Below are 16,175 nucleotides of genomic sequence, written 5' to 3'. Positions count from 1 at the left end.
GGATTGTGAGAATCTGCATTTTAATAAGCAGCCCCAGTTGATCCTGATTCACACAGAAATTTGAGAAACCTTACCACCCTGCCCATCCTCATCCATTAGAGCACATTCTACCAGTCACGTTAGATAAAAACTCCTCGAGTGTGGATCTGTTTTTCTTCGTAATGATTAAAAATGCCTTCTCTGCAAGTAACAGCATCTTCGACAATGGTGGCTTAAAATCCTAAAGATCTTTATTTGTTTAGTTCATACAGTGTCCAGAATTTGACAGTCTCAAGACTGGTGTAGCAGCTCAGCAGTGGCGCCAAAGGGCCTCATTCCTTCAACGTCTGTGTTTCACTATCCTTGACTCTTGGCTGTTTTCTGTGCCTGTTGCTTCATTGCCACCAGGTGGTTGCTGCAGATCCAGGCATCTTGTCTAAATAGTTACTTTCCCAGATTTTGCTGCAGCGAGGGCATGGTCACATGACAGGCTTAGCCTAGCGGATGTTCTCACCTGGAATTTTTACTTGGGAGCTGGTGTCAAGAAGAGGGCATGGTGAGGACTCCATTCTGGGGGCAATGGTGATGGCCCTGGTGGCCAGAATGGATTCTCCTGCCATCTTATTCTTAGGTCAAGCAATGATGTCCTTACCTGATGGGCTTTGTGGTGCAGTTTTGGCTGTAGTGCTGGGCTTCATGGTCACTCTTTGCGCCTGCGTGTTTTCTAAGCCTGATTCCCTAATATTTCCAGCTGGTCTGTGAGTTTCCTGATATCCGTTCAACATTTTCTCCTCTCCTCGATTCAGCCAGTGAATGTCCATTGCTACAGATGGACTTACCAGGCTTGGATCCTTCAGGTCTCAGCTGAAACACAATTCCACAGAAACGTCCCCGGGGCTCAGAGAAAAGTTGCCTATTATTCCTGGAACAAAACCTGTGTCTTTCCTTCATCACACTTATCACAGCCTGTCAGCACTTTGTTCGATTACTTGCATTCTGGCTCCCCACTAGGATAGAAGCTCCATGGAGAGATGGACCACTGTCTCCTTGTGTGGATAACATAGAGCCTGACACACAATAGCTGTTCAAAATTGTTGTTGTTGAGTAGATGAATGGATACATGAATGGTTGAAGCGGGCTTGTTTTGAGATGGGGCTGACCTGGGAGTCACCAGATGGGCAGATAAGCCCCTTGCTTCAGGTCACATTCCTTCCTGCAGAGTCATATGGAGATTCCAGTTTTGTTCTTTTGCCATCGTTGACCACAAGAAGGCATCATGAAGAGAAAACCCTATTCTTAAGCGGGGTCACAAGGGTTGTCCCTGCCCTGGCTGGGGAGGGTGCCCGCCACCCCAACAAACACCCACTAGCCAAGCATAACAGGGAATAATAATAAAATAGTAATTAGATATAGACTGTAATTTGGCTCTGATGCTTGTGCATAATGCCTAGTTAGACACTAATAACCCTGGAGATAATAGGGGGCACATTAATGATACCAGGGAGTTTTTCACCAGGCTGACCTGTGTTGGGGCTTATTCCAGTTGCTGTTGTTGCATAACAAACTATCCCTAAACGTAGTGGTGAAGAATATTCATTTATTATTCTTATGGGTGAGCATTTCCGACAGGGCACAGTGGGGATGGCTTGCCTCTTCTCCACACTGTCTGGGTCGCAGCTTGAAGACTTGAGGGCTGAGGATAACTCAGTGTCTGGTGCTGACGTTACCTAAAGGCTTATTTACTCACATGATTGGTGGTTGATTAGCTGATTTGTTGGCTGAATGCCCACATAAGGCATTTCCATGTGATCTGGACTTCCTCATAACATGGTGGCTAGGTTCCAAGGGTGAGCGCCGGTGGAGGTCGGGGCGGGTGGGGAGAGAGAGAGAGAGAGAGAGAGAGAGAGAGAGAGAGAGAGAGAGAGAGAGAGAGAGAGGCAGAAGCCATATGGCCTTTATAATTGATCAGAAGTCACATAGGATCACTGCCACTGAACTCTAGCAGTCAAGGCAGTCTCAAAGACAACCCATATTCCAAGGGAGAAATTAGACTCCACCTTTTGACTGAGACAGGAGAGCATATAGAATTAGAAATACTACTGTGGCCATTTTGGGAAAATATGACCTGTTACAGCCCCCCTCCCCACCCACCCGGCACTGCTGTAACCCACTAAATTGGGATTAATTCCAGCCAGTCGAGGTCAGGCTCTTCCCGGTCCTTTCTATCTGCCTCTCAGCCTCATGTCACTCTGGTTCATTAACACATCTTTCCTTCTCATGTTTCTCCCCCTGCCTGAATTTGAGGAAATCATAACGTTCTTCAAGGCCAGCTCTTATGAGAAGTCCTCCCTGATTGCTCCAGCCTCCCAGCTGGGCCTTAGGGCTTCTTTTCCCTCTGAAACCTGCTTTTCCTTCCAGGACTGGTGTGGAGCTCTGAGCACCAGGGAATGTTATCAAAGAAGATGCAGCTTTGGCATTCTGGACTGAAGCCAGGATCGCAGCACAGTGATTAGGGAGTCAGACACAGAGAAGTGGCCGAAGAGGGGCCAGAGTGAGACTGGAGAGGAAGGAAGGAGCTTCCCACATCACAGCTCCCTAGGGCCCACCTCATGGAGGAAGAGCAATAGAGCTGTGCCCTGTGACACCTGGAGTCCCTGAATTGCTCAGGTGGAAAAGCACTGGTGTTAGTTGCATGCTTCCTTCCCTCACAGCCCATAGCCAGTCCCTCATCACATCTTGTGGGCTCTGCCTTCTCCACTTCCCAGCTACCCATCGCTACCAAACTGGACCACGCCACCCTCATCTCTTACCTGGGTGGTTACAACAACCTCCTCCATGGACTCCCCGCAGCAGCCAGAGGGTTTTCTTTAGAACACAAGTCATATCCTGTCACTTCTTTGCTCAAAACCTTCCTGGGCTTCCCATCTCAATCACAATAGAAGCCCAAGTCCTTATAACAGCTTTCAGGGCTCTACAGGATCTGTGTTCCCCTCCAGTTAACCCTACCCTCACTTTTCCACTGCAGGACCATTGCCTCCTTTATCTTCCTCACACACACCAGGGGTACTCCCAAATGGCTTTGCTCCCCTGCTCCAGAACCTGCTCCTTCAGATGTTCACATGGCTCTCCCTCATCATTCATGCCAAATTTCTACCCAAATACCACCGTCAGAGAGCCTGCCCTGCCCATCCCACCCCCGACATACCCCCATCCTGACTTTTATTCATCAGTGTACCAATCATTACTTGAATTTATATTTTTTATTTGATTATCCATCTTATCATCTATCTCCCCCTACCTTCCCCCACTTCCATCCCACTGCCCACCTTCCCACCCCCTTGATGATAAACCTTCAGAAAGCACTAATCATCTGTGCTGAATCCCCAGAACCTGGTCACAGGAGGGACTCGTTAATCACCTGTGATTCAGTGAGATCTTGACCATATAATTTAATGGCCTGGTGCCCTTGGGAGGTCACATATTGCAGAATCAGATGAGGGGGATTGCCAGTGTCAAACATAAGATACCAAAACCTTTTTATAGAGTTATCCTCCCTACCCCTACATGCATTTCATGATTAAACAGAAGGCTGGTCAATTAGCCGGGCGCAGTGGTGAGCACCTGCAGTCCCAGCTACTCGGGAGGCTGAGGCAGGAGAATGGCGTGAACCTGGGAAGTGGAGCTCGTAGTGAGCAGAGATCGCGCCACTGCACTCCAGCCTGGGCGACAGAGCGAGACTCCCTCTCAAAAACAAACAAACAAACAGAAGGCTGGTCCTTCAGTCTGAAGCACTGGCCATCAGATGATTTTACAAATACCTGTAATTCCCCCATCTACCAGTAGAAGGTGCCCTACTCTCATTCCTAAGGGTTAAGAAATACCGGAAGGGGCATGCTTCATACTGACAACAGGCATGTCCTCTGGGGGAAGGAGTGGAAGAGGAGTGGGGAAGGGGGAACTGCCTATTTTTTCACTCTCTTACCGGCTTACATATTTAAGGAATTTTTATAATGTGAATATATTTGTATAAAAATAGTTTAATGCATCTATATACTTTTAATTTTTTTAATAGAGAAAGCACATTTACGACAGAATGGCCAGAAAGTCTGACTATATAAGTAATATTACTTAATTTTGTTCCAGATTGAACCGCCTTGATTACATCTTCTGAGGCATACTAAAACTGCAGGTTTATTCCATGAAACTCAGAGGCACAAATCATCCAAGGCAGTCTGTGAGAATGATGGAGTTGCTGCGTATCACTCCACTTCCATTGCAGTTTTGCACAGCACAACCAATTATGCCCTGAGGAGGGACAACACATTGAACGTATCATGTTAAGGTCACTGAACATATAATCTATTGTAATGTGACATCAATACATCATTTTATATATATTTACCTGTGTTTCCACCTGCAGATTGGCAACCATTGACACATAAACAAATGATTGCAATAAAGTATGGTAAGTGATTATAAAGGTATGTGAAGACTAGTATGAGAGCAAGGAATGTAGAGAATTTGCTCTAAGCCTCAGCTTCCCCACCAGTACCAGTGTGTAATAATTCCACCTTTGAAGGTTGCTGGGAGGAGAAATGACATAATGTCAGGGGGAGTCCCTGGTACTAACATTCATTGTAATGGGATATGTTGAATTCAGCTCTTTGAGGCTGGCTTCCCCAGGCAAGTGTGATCAAGGTTGGGAGGAGGAGTGGTTTAGAGCCAGACGTAGGACGGGTGAAGAGGCTGCTTCTGGGAATAGGGATGCTCATCAGCATAGGAATGAGAGAGCCAATAAACTAAGCAGTTGCAGGAAAGGAGATTGGGAGGAGGCGTCCAAGAATGCCTCCCTAGGGCTGGGTACCACAGCACAGACACACTTCCTTGTTTCTGCTTCATTTTTCCTCTGTATCTCTTTGTAAGCCTGTGATGGGATTTATCACTGGATACCTCTTTAGAATTTGTGTAGGTAGTACTGCATAACATACAGATTAGGCACTAGAGCCAGTCTACCTGGGTATGAGTCCCAGCTCTGTCATTTACTATTTTGTGATCTAAGTAACTCTCGAAATCTCTGCTTCCTCATTTGTAAAATGGGAATAATATTAGTACTTTCCTCAAAGGATTGTTGGAAGGATTAAATAAATACTTATGATAACCTTAGAAAAGTGACTAGCATATTTTATACTCTCAATGAATATTACATATTAAAATTCAATCAGTCACTTCATTCATTCATTCATTACCAATTTCATTTACTTTTTGGCTCTTTTATGAATTCTTATGGGTGCTTATCTACACCAGGTATTATGCTAAGTGTGGAGAATGTAGGGCTAAAGAAGACATGGTTTTTGCCCATGACAAGCACAAAGTCTAGGACAGGGGAGGAGAGACGTAGGCCAGACGACTTTAAGCCAAGTGGTCCAAAAAGACAATGAAGGGAAAGCATAGAGAGAAAAAAAGAGACCTCGTGTGTTTGGATGCAGTGATGTGGGAGGAAGATGGGGAAGGTTTTGCAGGAGAGGAAACATTTGAACTGAGCACTGGAGAGTGAATAAATATTTTCGTGGTGATAATTAATATAATACAACAATAAATAATATCCTATGCTGTATAACAAACCACATGAAAATGTGGTGACAAGACGACAACCAGTTCTATGGCCAGCAATTTGTGTTAGGCTCGGCTGGAGAGTTTTCTACTGAACTTCACTCCAAACTCAAATTTTAAAATAGATATAGGGATACTTTGGATATCTATTTCTTCCTCAATGGGTTTTGATAGTTTGTGTCTTTCAAGGAATTTGTTCATTTTATCTAAGTTGTCAACCTTTTTTTTTTTTTTTTTTTTTTTTTTGAGACAGGGTCTGGCTCTATTACCCAGGTTAGAGTGCAATGGCCCAATCTTGGCTCACTGCAACTTCTGCCTCCTGGGCTCAAACCATCCTCTCACCTCAGCCTTCTGAATAGCTGGGACTACAGGTGTGTGCCACCGTGCCTGGCTATTTTTTTTGATACAGACAAGGTCTTGCCATGTTGCCCAGGCTGGTCTTGAACTCCTGAGCTCAAGTGATCCTCCAGCCTTGGCCTCCCAAGACTACAGGCATGAGCCACCATGCCCAGCTAAGTTGTCAAGCTTTTTATGCATAAGTTTGTCCATAATATTTCTAAATTATTCTTCAAATAGCTATAGGGTCTCTTATTCCTGATATTAGTAATTTGTGTCTTTCTTATTTTTTGCTGATCAGTCTGGCTAGAGACTTATCAATGTTATTCATGTTCCGAAAGAACCCACTTTTAGTTACATTGAATTACTATTTTGTTTTTCTATTTTCTGTTTTATTGATTTATGCTGTTTGGTATTTCCTTTTCCATTTATTTTAGATTTTAGGTTTAATTTCTTCATTTCTTTCTTTTTTTATGAGACGGAGTTTTGCTCTTGTTGCCCAGGCTGGAGTGCAATGGCGCAATCTTTGCTCACCACAACCTCTGCCTCCCAGGTTCAAGAGATTCTCCTGCTTCAGCCTCCTGAGTAGCTGGTATTACAGGTGCCTGCCACCACGCCCAGCTAATTTTTTAGTTTTAATAGAGACGGGGTTTCTCCATGTTGCTCAGGCTGGTCTCGATCTCCCGACCTCAGGTAATCCATGGGCCTTGGCCTTTCAAAGTGCTGGGATTACAGGCGTGAGCCGCCGCGCCCGGCCTGGTTTAATTTCTTCACTTTTTGGCTGCCTAAGGTGGAAGGTGAGTTCATTGATTTTTTTCGTTTCTAATATAGACATTTTAGTGCTATAAATATTCCTCTGCTGCATCCTATGCATTTTTATATGCTGTGTTTTTAGTTTAAAATACTTTATAATTCTCTTTAAAAATTTCTCCTTTGACCCATAGGTTATTCAGAAGTCTTTTCTTTAGTTTCCAAATGTTTGGAGATTTCCAGATATATTTATGTTATTGTCATCTAATTTAATTTCTTTGCATTCAAAGAACATTGAGACTACTTATAATTTTTATTCTTGATGGATTGATTCTTTTATCATTCAAAAATATTCTTTTTCTTTAGTAACAATCTTTGGCTATTTTGTTTAATATTTGTATAGCCACTCCAGGTTTGTTATGGTTACTATTTGTATGGTATATAATTTGTATTCTTTTACATTTAACCAATTTCTATTCTATATTCAAATTTGATTTTTTGTAGCAGTATATAGTTGGGTCTTGCTTTTTTACCCAATCTGACAATAGCTGCCTTTTATTTGGGTGTTTGGGCCATTTACATTTAATGTGATTATTAGTATGGTTGGGTTTAATCTACCATATTGCTACTTATTTTTAAAATCTGTCTCAACTATTCTTTGTTCCCTTTTCTCCTTTTCTGCCTTCTTTTTCTATTAATTGAGTATTCTTTACTATTACATTGCGTTTACTTTGTTGGTTTGTTACTGATAACTGGGTTTTCTTGTTGTTTTCTTTTTTTTTTAGATGGAGTCTCACTCTGTTGTCCAGGATGGAGTGCAGTGGTGCGATCTCAGCTCACTGCAGCCTCCACCTCCCAGGGTCAAGAGATTTTCCTGCCTCAGCCTCCCAAGTAGTTGGGATTACAGGTATGCACCACCACACCCAGCTAATTTCTGTATTTTTAGTAGAGACGGGGTTTTGACATGTTGGCCAGGCTGGTCTCAAACTCCTGACCTCAGGTGACCTGCCTGCTTCAGACTCCTGAAGTTCTGGGATTACAGGCGTGAGCCACCATGGCCAGCTTGTTTTCTTTTCTTTTTCTTCTCTTTCTTTTTTGAAACAGGGTTTCACTCTGTCAACCAGGCTGAAGTGCAGTGGCACCATCTCGGCTCACTGCAACTTCTGCCTCTCAAGTTCAAGTAACTCCCCTGCCTCAGTCTCCTGAGTAGCTGGGACTACAGGCATGTGCCACCACGCCTGGATAATTTTTTTTTTTTTAAAGTAGAAATGGGGTTTCACCATATTGGCCAGGCTGGTCTTGAACTCTTGGCCTCAAGTGATCTACCCATCTTGGCCTCCCAAAGTACTGAGATTGCAGGTGTGAGCCACCACGCCGGCCTTCTTTTCTTTTACTGGTTTCTTTAGGTTTATAATACAGATCTTTAACTTGTCACAGTCTATCTTCAATTAATATTTTATTACTTCATGTATTATATAAGAAATTTACATCAGTGTTTTTTTTTCCTTCCTGGCCATTGTGTTATTATTTTCATACATTTTACTTCTACAATGTTGCTATTATTTTTGCTTTAAATGTAGAGGATGCCACCACTGAATTTCTTAGTGATGTTGATGCCTCTGTCACTACTCATTTCTGATGGCCTTGGTGAATGGTGGGTGGGTCCCCTGGGCCCTCTGAGGGAACACAATCCTTTGGAAGATGTCTCCTGGCCCCTCATAATATGTCAACCCCAGCACGCCCATTTCCCTGAGCCTTTTAATTCTTTCCTCTATCATGCAGCATAGGAATTCAGCCATTTCAACTGTACTTAGCGTAAGTCATCACTTCTTCCAGATGTTTGGAGCCACTAAGCCAGTTTGCACCAGCTCTCAGGATCCTCACCTGGGTATTAAATCTCGTATCACAAAAGAATGGCCCCAAGTCAATAAATTCTTCATTGTTTAGGCTCCTGTTATGGCTTCCTTGATTAAGCACCCTCAAATCCACTCCCAGAGTTCTCCCGTGATCCTGCTGTCACATGATCCTAGTTTTTCGGATCCTTTGGACTATAGTCTCTTTATTTCTTTATCAGATATGGCACATCCCCAACTGAGTTACACTGCAACTTAACATGACATCAGCCTGGAGGCCAAGAGAAGAGGCAGAAATAAATCCTGAGTAGGGCCCCTGCTGCAGGAGAGAGAATTCTTCAGTGTCTTCCCATATGGGATAGGAGGTGGGGAGAGAAGTTACTGGATCTTAATAGGAAGGAGGCCAGGCCTGTCTATGGGCTCTGAGGGTCCAGAGGAGTTTGGAAGTCAAAACGTTTGAGGGCATCCACCCAGATGTACCCAATCCATATTGCCTGGGATAATATGGGATGAGGATGGGTTCAAGGCAGCTGGATGGTAAGTGATTCAACCCCAAATCCCTAATTTACTGACCGCTTTTTTTTTTTTTTAAGAGATGGGGTCTTATTGTGTCATTCAAGCTGAAGTACAGTGACACAATCATAGCTCACTGCAGCCTTGAACTCCTGGGCTCAGGCAACAAGCAGTACAGAAAGCCTGCATTTAAACACTGGCGACACAGAGACCATCATTGGCTGCATTACATCAGCACCAGTGATACAGACAACTGTCACTTTTCTTCTTCTCTCTCTGCTCCAACTCTGAGGGATCTAGCAACTCCCCAGTTCGGGGAAGGAAGGGAAGGAAGGTGAGAGATGGACAGTGCCTGCTCTGCAGGCGTAAGTAAGGCCTGCGCTGCACCCAGGGGAGAAGCTTTGAGCTGGATGTGAGGTTGAGGTTTCTATTTAGATTCTACTTGTCTCCTGAGTTCAGAAAATGAGGCAGAGTTGTCAAAATGGGATTAGTCAGCACAAGCGACAGGAAAGCTAATGGGATTTGTTTGAGGTTATTTTAAGGGACAAAGGCTGAGGAACCATCAGAGTGTGTATAAAGGCAGAGAAGGTTCAGGTTGAGTTAACAGCGCTGTGGCTGGCGGAAGGACGCATTTGCTCCTGGCCACAAGAGGAGCGTGGAGCCCCATGTGAGCAGAGGCTGGGCCACCCCCGGGACCAGCTCTGCCAGAGGGTTCCAGCAAAAACTGTGACGTCCCCTCTCACTCTGATGCATGTAGAGAGGCCTGAAAAGTTTGCCCAACCACACAGAGAATGTTTGAAGCCTTCTGTGACCAGGAGCTACCTCCCAAGGCAGCCTCATCTATTTTTGGACATCATGTTAGAAAGTTTTCCTAAACTGGCTTGAAATGTTTCCCTAGTTTTGCATCTACAGCCTTGCAGATCAAGCCCACTCCCTTTGGACATTGAAACACAGAGAACATGGCCTCCTCAAATTTATTCCCTGCTCCAGAAGGTCACGGCCACAGCCTCCTCTCTCCTTCACCACCTTAGGTGCAACAGCAGTCAGGTAGAGTCGGTGCTGTGTGATCGCACTTATTTAACATTTATTTTGAGTTAGGGTGTGAGTGCTGGGGCAGGTGACTAACCATCCCCTGCCCTCTGTGGTGGCCTGAGAGAGAAGCAGGAATGCCCCGTGCAGGTTGGGGATCAGCAAACAGTCTAGACCAGCTTCTCTCCTGTATCCCGTTTGGAGAGTCCCTGGGTCAGGGGCCAGTCCATCCTGCAGCATTGAAGGGCGTGAGGAATGAGCAGGGCTGTGGGGCTCACAGAGCAGGCAGCTCTGGGGAGAAGCGGCCAGGGAATGTGCAAAAGTGATCAAGTCATAGGACAGGGTGGACCCAGCCCCAACCTGGGGGAGAGGAGAGGGGGATGTGCTGGAGCCTGGAGGTCCATGTCTGGCAGCCTTGGGAGATGGAGAGGGTTTCCCAGGCCGGACAGCATGGGCGGGGGGTTCATTCCATGGTGAGCTCTCCCTGCTCCGTGTTGTCCAAGTTTGTACGGGAGGCCACCAGCGCCCTTCATTCGGCTACATCGATGGACAACATGGCCTTGATTGCAGGGAACTTGTTGCAGGAGAAGTCGGCGAGCAGTTGCTTGGTGCCACTCCGGGAGGGCAGGATATCAAAACGGACCCGGGACCCCTCCTTGGGCCCTAGGGTCGGCACGCTGATGGGGAGGGCACAGATCAGTGTTGATACGAGACACACGGACCTTGGGCTGGACGGGCCTCCTGTGACCTCCTGTCCTGTTCTGATGGAGGCTGGGCAAGGCCACTGCTTCTTTAGCTCCCTCTAGCTGTCTCTCTGGGTTACGGGGCCCCTCCAGCCCTGGAACTCTTCAGCAGGGGAAGCAGGAGGGGGGGGTCCCATGATCTCCCAAATATTCTAAGCCCTGAAGGCCAGCTCTTAGCTCTGGTGACCTGTTCTTCTCAGGAGTTCAAGTTTGGTGAACCCCCAAACCAAATGCAAAAGCAGATTCTAGAGTTCCAAGACCCCCAAAAGAGTAAAGAACCCAAGGTCAGAGGGAGCTCTGTCTGTCCCACCCAGGGGATCTGGAGGGCCCCCCCGCCCCCTCCCGCCCTCCTGCACCGGCCACTTAGGCCCAGGACTCACTCGATCTTCAGGTTACCCAACAGCAGGCCGCTTCCCTCCACCATCAGCACGCAGTCCCTCACCGGCTCATCCAGTGGATTGGAGAAGAGCATCTGCACGTTCACAGGCTTCCGCACACGAGCCTCGTTCAGCACCTATGGGGGAGAGGGGCTGCCGAGTCAGGACTCCAGCTGCTCAGCCCCTGCCTGCACCTTGGTGAGGGCTGGGCAGGGTGACTGAGTGAAGGGGGTGATGTCACTGAGGATGAAGAAGGGGAGACCATTTAGCCCTCCTAGGTGCCAGGCACATTGTGTCTGACGCCCCCTGCCCCCCAATACACAGGATGGTCCCAGGACATTATCCTGTGCTGTGGATGAGAACCTCAGCTTTGAGGGGGAAGGGGCCCCCTGCAGCAGCCAACAACACTGTTACTTCCCTGCCCCGACTCCAGTTCAGACCCTGCTTCCCAGGACAGCCCAACCCCACTGTGGGCTCTGTGAGGGTCAGGACATTTTTCATGCTGAATTTATTTTTTGCAAGGACAGGGTCTTGCTGTGTTGCCCAGGCTGGCCTCGAACTCCTGGCCTCAAGTGATCTTCCTGCCTTGGCCTCCCAAAGCACTGGGATTACAGATGTAAGTCACTGTGCCCAGCCACTTGCTGGGTTTAATATTACTTTCCTTGGCTTTCCTGCTTATGGGTCCTGTTTCTTCCCTTAAAGCTTGAACCTCCGTCTCTGGGAGGCCCCACAGGTGTTGAAAAGGGCAGCCCCAGGCCCCACAGCTGCTCACACCCTGGCTCACACTGTAGCTCCCTTAACTCTTTTTCCAGGGGTTGGGTCCCCCCAGCTCAACCCAGGCTACTCTCCTCTGCTGACACCCCAGTCTACCAATGTCCTTCTAAACTTCTAGAGCCCAGAGGTTCCCTGTGCACCATTTATAGTCTGAGCGGAGCTCTAATACCACACGGTCCTTGCTCAGTGATCAGAACAGATGAAGGCTGGGTTTGGGGTCAGAAAAGCAATTTGGACTATTTATTCAGACCAAAAGATGAAAGCTGTTGTGTTTCTGCCAAGAAACAGCCGTAATTCATTCTGGGCAGACAAGTCATCTCTTTGCGCCTCAACTTCCTCATCTGGTAAAGAAGGACAATCATCTCTTCCCTCCCAGAAGGGGTCAAATGAGATCAAGGATGGGGAAGAAAGCATTTTGGACATAGAAATGGACATTTTATGGCTATTGGATTTCTTCTTCTTTTGAGGATGACCGGAGGTTGCTGGGTTTTGTTGTTGCTGTGTTTTGTTTTTCTTGTCACTAATCCTCAGAGCAACCATTTTACAGTGACAGAGCTGAGGTTCAGGCTGATTCAATAACCTGGAACATTCACACACAAGGAAACAGCAGAGCCCAGCTGGATCTAAAGCCTTTGCTGTTTCTGATAGGTCTGCAATACCTCCCAGTAATTTGTGAGTAATTGAAGCATTTTACACATCATGGTCTATATTTTCATTTCTTCCATGAAACTCATTTAAGTGTATGACATAATTTGAAGAGTGCAGCATAATTTTATGCTATTGGGTTATAAGAAAGCTATACAGATGTTGCCACATTTTTCATGGTGATATTTAATTTGAGATTTCCATGCTTTTTTTTCTTTTTTTAATGCCGCTTACCACTCTCTCCTATTGACCCAACTCTGTAAATGTACCCAGAGGAAAGGATAAAAGCCACTAAAAACCTGAGTTTGCTTGTCACAGATGATGGATCAATTGGGAGGACATCACCCTTTGGAAACAATGTTCAGATTGTTTTTGGCCTGGTTTTGTGGTCTAAGGTCCTCAGTGCTAATTGCCAGTCAGTACCAGGTTAGATAATGGGGTTTTACCCAAATTATTATCTTTTCATACAGATCACCTTCTCCAGTTTAAAAATCGGTGCCCTGCTCTGAGTGAGCTAGGCATTGATCCGTTCAATAGAGACAAGAATGTCTCGATTAGGTGAAGGCTTAGGTGGAGGAAAGAACTTGCCTCGAAGAAGGAAGATCAGGAGTCATTTAAAAAGATTAAATTTTTAAAAAGAGTCAGTGATGGCACATTTCTAGCCTTATATATTCTGATTTCCTTTCTAAAGATATTGTAGTATCTTAAAGATAAGTAGACTTGCCATGGAAATCTGGAAGATGTATAGCAAAAGTGTTGAATAAAAGATAATGCTGGAAGAAGGTTTGAGGACATTGGATAAGGGAACATAATGGGGAATACACTGGGGAAAAACACTAATTTTTTTTTTTTTTGACGGAGTCTCACTCTGTCAGCCAGGCTGGAGTGCAGTGGTGTGATCTCGGCTCACTGCAACCGCTGCCTCTCGGGTTCAAGCAATTCTCCTGCCTCAGCCTCCCAAGTAGCTGGGATTATAGGTGCCCGCCACCATGCCTGGCTAATTTTTTCTATTTTTAGTAGAGACGGGGTTTCACCATGTTGGCCAGGCTGGTCTTGAACTCCTGACCTCAGGTGCTCCACCTGCCTCGGCTTCCCAAAGTGCTGGGATTGCAAGAGTGAGCCACCGCGCCTGGCCAAAAACTAAGTTCTTTTAAACACTGATCACTTTAGTACAGAATGTTCTCATAACTGAACTGGCAGCCACCCAGTATCATTTTCTAGCCTCAGGAGTTGGAATGGGCACTCTGCTGTCCACCATGTCTAGAGAGATGGGGAGTGTTTCTCAGAAATGTCTTGTGAAGCAGGAGAGGCTGTCACACGCAGGGCACAAGCCTGGACTGACTTTCCTGTGCAGGGAAGAATGCAAGTCCAGAGCCAAGGGGATCTGTTCCAGTCATGCCCCGAGCAAGGGGCTATTTCTCTTTTACAAATAGTGGCTATCCACTAAGACATTGTGCTAAGGGAGACAGTGATGAACTCAGAACAGAGGTAATGCCTGCCCTCATGGAGTTTACGGTTGGGTAGGGATTCACAACCAAATAATTGCACAAAGAAGGATAATATTCCAGCTGGGACAAATGCCTTGAAGGAAAAGGACAGAATGTTCTGAGGGTGTATAATTGAGATGAATTTGGGAGCCTAATTTGGGAGCTCAGGAAAGGCTTCCCTGAGGAAATGACACTCTGCAAGGGAAGTAATTTATTGTCCCAGTGACAGAGTTGGAGCAACTGAGACTCAGATTAAGGGACCTGCTCAGTGTCACCACTGATCAATGGAGGGGTTTAGATACAATGCCAGATCCATTTGGTTACATGGCCCAAGGCCTGAACGACTGCCCTTCTCAGCCCCCAGACTGGCTGCCCAGTCACTGACTCTCTAGCCCCTAAGGTAGGGGACCAACTCCCCCATCCTGAAGCACAGTCCAAACTAACCAGGACAGTAAAAGGGTGCAATTGCAGGCCAGCTATGTGGGAGAACCAGGCCCGGCATCAGAGCCAGCATCCTAGATCCCCCTGCCCTTTCTGAGGTCAGGAACGCCTGCAGCCAGCTTACAGCTTAAGGAGGGGCGGGCCAGGGCAGCCATGATTATCTGGCTCTTCCTGGTTTCTGGGGCTTGGGAAACCTGTGGCATTGTGATTGTACAGGGAAAGGCAATTTCTATCTAGACAACTGGGGCAGACGGTGGGTACAGCAGATGAGAGAGGGCAGGGCCTGGCCCATGAGGCTCTTGATTGGGCCCCAAGGGAAAACCTCATGTTCTCTGTCCGTTTGTCTGCCTGTCCTTGTCCAGCCTTTTACCCTTCAGACCTATACTCCCTGGTTCCAGCACCCTTCACCCTGGGCTGTGGGGATCAGGCACAGGGGCTACAGGGTGAGGGACAGGCTTGGAGTCCGCACAGGTGCTCCTACCAGTGCTGAGGAAGACACAGAGTGGCACGAGGGGCCTCCCACAGACCTGCAAGCCCCACCTTCCTGGGCTCCTGAGAAGGAGCCTGGGAGTGAATGCTGCAAAGTAAAGGAAGCCCTATGAGCAGAGAAAGAGGGGTCTTTGTTCTCAGCCACTTTGAAGATGCTGTTGCTGGCTGGTGATGTACCAGGACGCCTTGGAGGGGCATGGGCTGGGAGTCCCAGGTTCTGAGGCCTAGCCTTGACTCTGGCGGTGGCCAGCTGTTCCCTTCTCTCTGGGCCTTGGTTTACTTGTGTGAAATGAGAGTACAGGAGCATGTGACTAGGCTCCTAAGAGTCCACAATTCTGTAACTCCAGGGTCTAGACAGGGGAGAGATGCTGTGGGTCAGGCCTATTTCTGATCTGTCCATGACAGAGGGCTGGGCTGTGGCCCTGGCACATCAGCTGGCTGTGTGTGAGACCTACACCTGTGCCTGTCTGTGATTCTCAAGCCTGGCATGGCCCAGAACACAGCAGATCTCAAGCCTGGCATGGCCCAGAACACAGCAAATGCTCAGTAGCTGAGTGAGAAGGGAATGAGCTGAAAAGAGTCCCCCAGGCCCCTCCTCAGCTGATGCCCCCAGTGGTTCTGAACTAGAATCTGAGAAGCAGCCAGGCAAATGCACGCGTTTATCTCACCAGACAGGGAGCAGGAACACGGGCCTGAGTGGGAGCTCTTGGCTATTTGGCAGAGGCTGGACCGAAGCTGGGCCCAGTTCTCTGCCCCTCCCAGCAAGAAAAAACTCTCCTTTGCCCTCTGGGAGAGCTGTGGCTCACAGGGACAGTGGGGCTCCTGGGAGCTGGGCTGGCTGGGGGCAGAACCCCTTCCCACAGGATGGGGAGCCCCATTACCTCCAGGGTCAAGGTGGGGTTGTCCAGGATGATGTCCCGCTCCACCACCACCTCAGACTCATCTGGGACCTTGCACACCGCTGTGATCCGGATCATGTTGTCTGACTTCAGGTACTTCTCATACTGAGCGTACGAGATCTTTATGGGATGTTCTGCCTCTGGAAGGAGAAGCCAGGGGATCCGAGTGAGGGGGAGTGGGGATGGCTTCTGAACCTTCCTCAGAACAGATGCCAAGCCAAGGCAGGGTGAGCTGGTGGGAGGATCTGCA

At 47.2% G+C, this 16,175-nt stretch overlaps 1 protein-coding gene across 1 annotated transcript in view, besides 1 other annotated feature; it reads right to left on the bottom strand.

The window, feature by feature from the left end:
• Positions 10,102 to 16,175, bottom strand: part of TGM3 (transglutaminase 3) — a 45,079-nt gene continuing 39,005 nt past the window's right edge. Inside the window, exons 11-13 of the mRNA NM_003245.4 lie at positions 15,908 to 16,065; positions 11,194 to 11,327; positions 10,102 to 10,747 (exon numbers count right to left, since the gene is read on the bottom strand). Of these exons, the coding sequence (NP_003236.3) occupies positions 10,600 to 10,747; positions 11,194 to 11,327; positions 15,908 to 16,065 (440 nt within the window). The 3' untranslated portion in view covers positions 10,102 to 10,599. The remainder of the gene's footprint in view (positions 10,748 to 11,193; positions 11,328 to 15,907; positions 16,066 to 16,175) is intronic.
• Positions 10,996 to 11,496: an enhancer, noted in NCBI's record as "H3K4me1 hESC enhancer chr20:2320331-2320831 (GRCh37/hg19 assembly coordinates)". NCBI's record gives its function as "activates a minimal SCP1, AML or CMV promoter by ChIP-STARR-seq in primed H9 embryonic stem cells {active_cell/tissue: H9 hESC(primed)}" and the evidence as "EXISTENCE:reporter gene assay evidence [ECO:0000049][PMID:30033119]".

Source organism: Homo sapiens, chromosome 20 (genome assembly GCF_000001405.40).
Source record: "Homo sapiens chromosome 20, GRCh38.p14 Primary Assembly".
NCBI classification, from domain to species: domain Eukaryota; kingdom Metazoa; phylum Chordata; class Mammalia; order Primates; family Hominidae; genus Homo; species Homo sapiens.
This window is presented reverse-complemented; position numbering and strand designations above follow the sequence as displayed.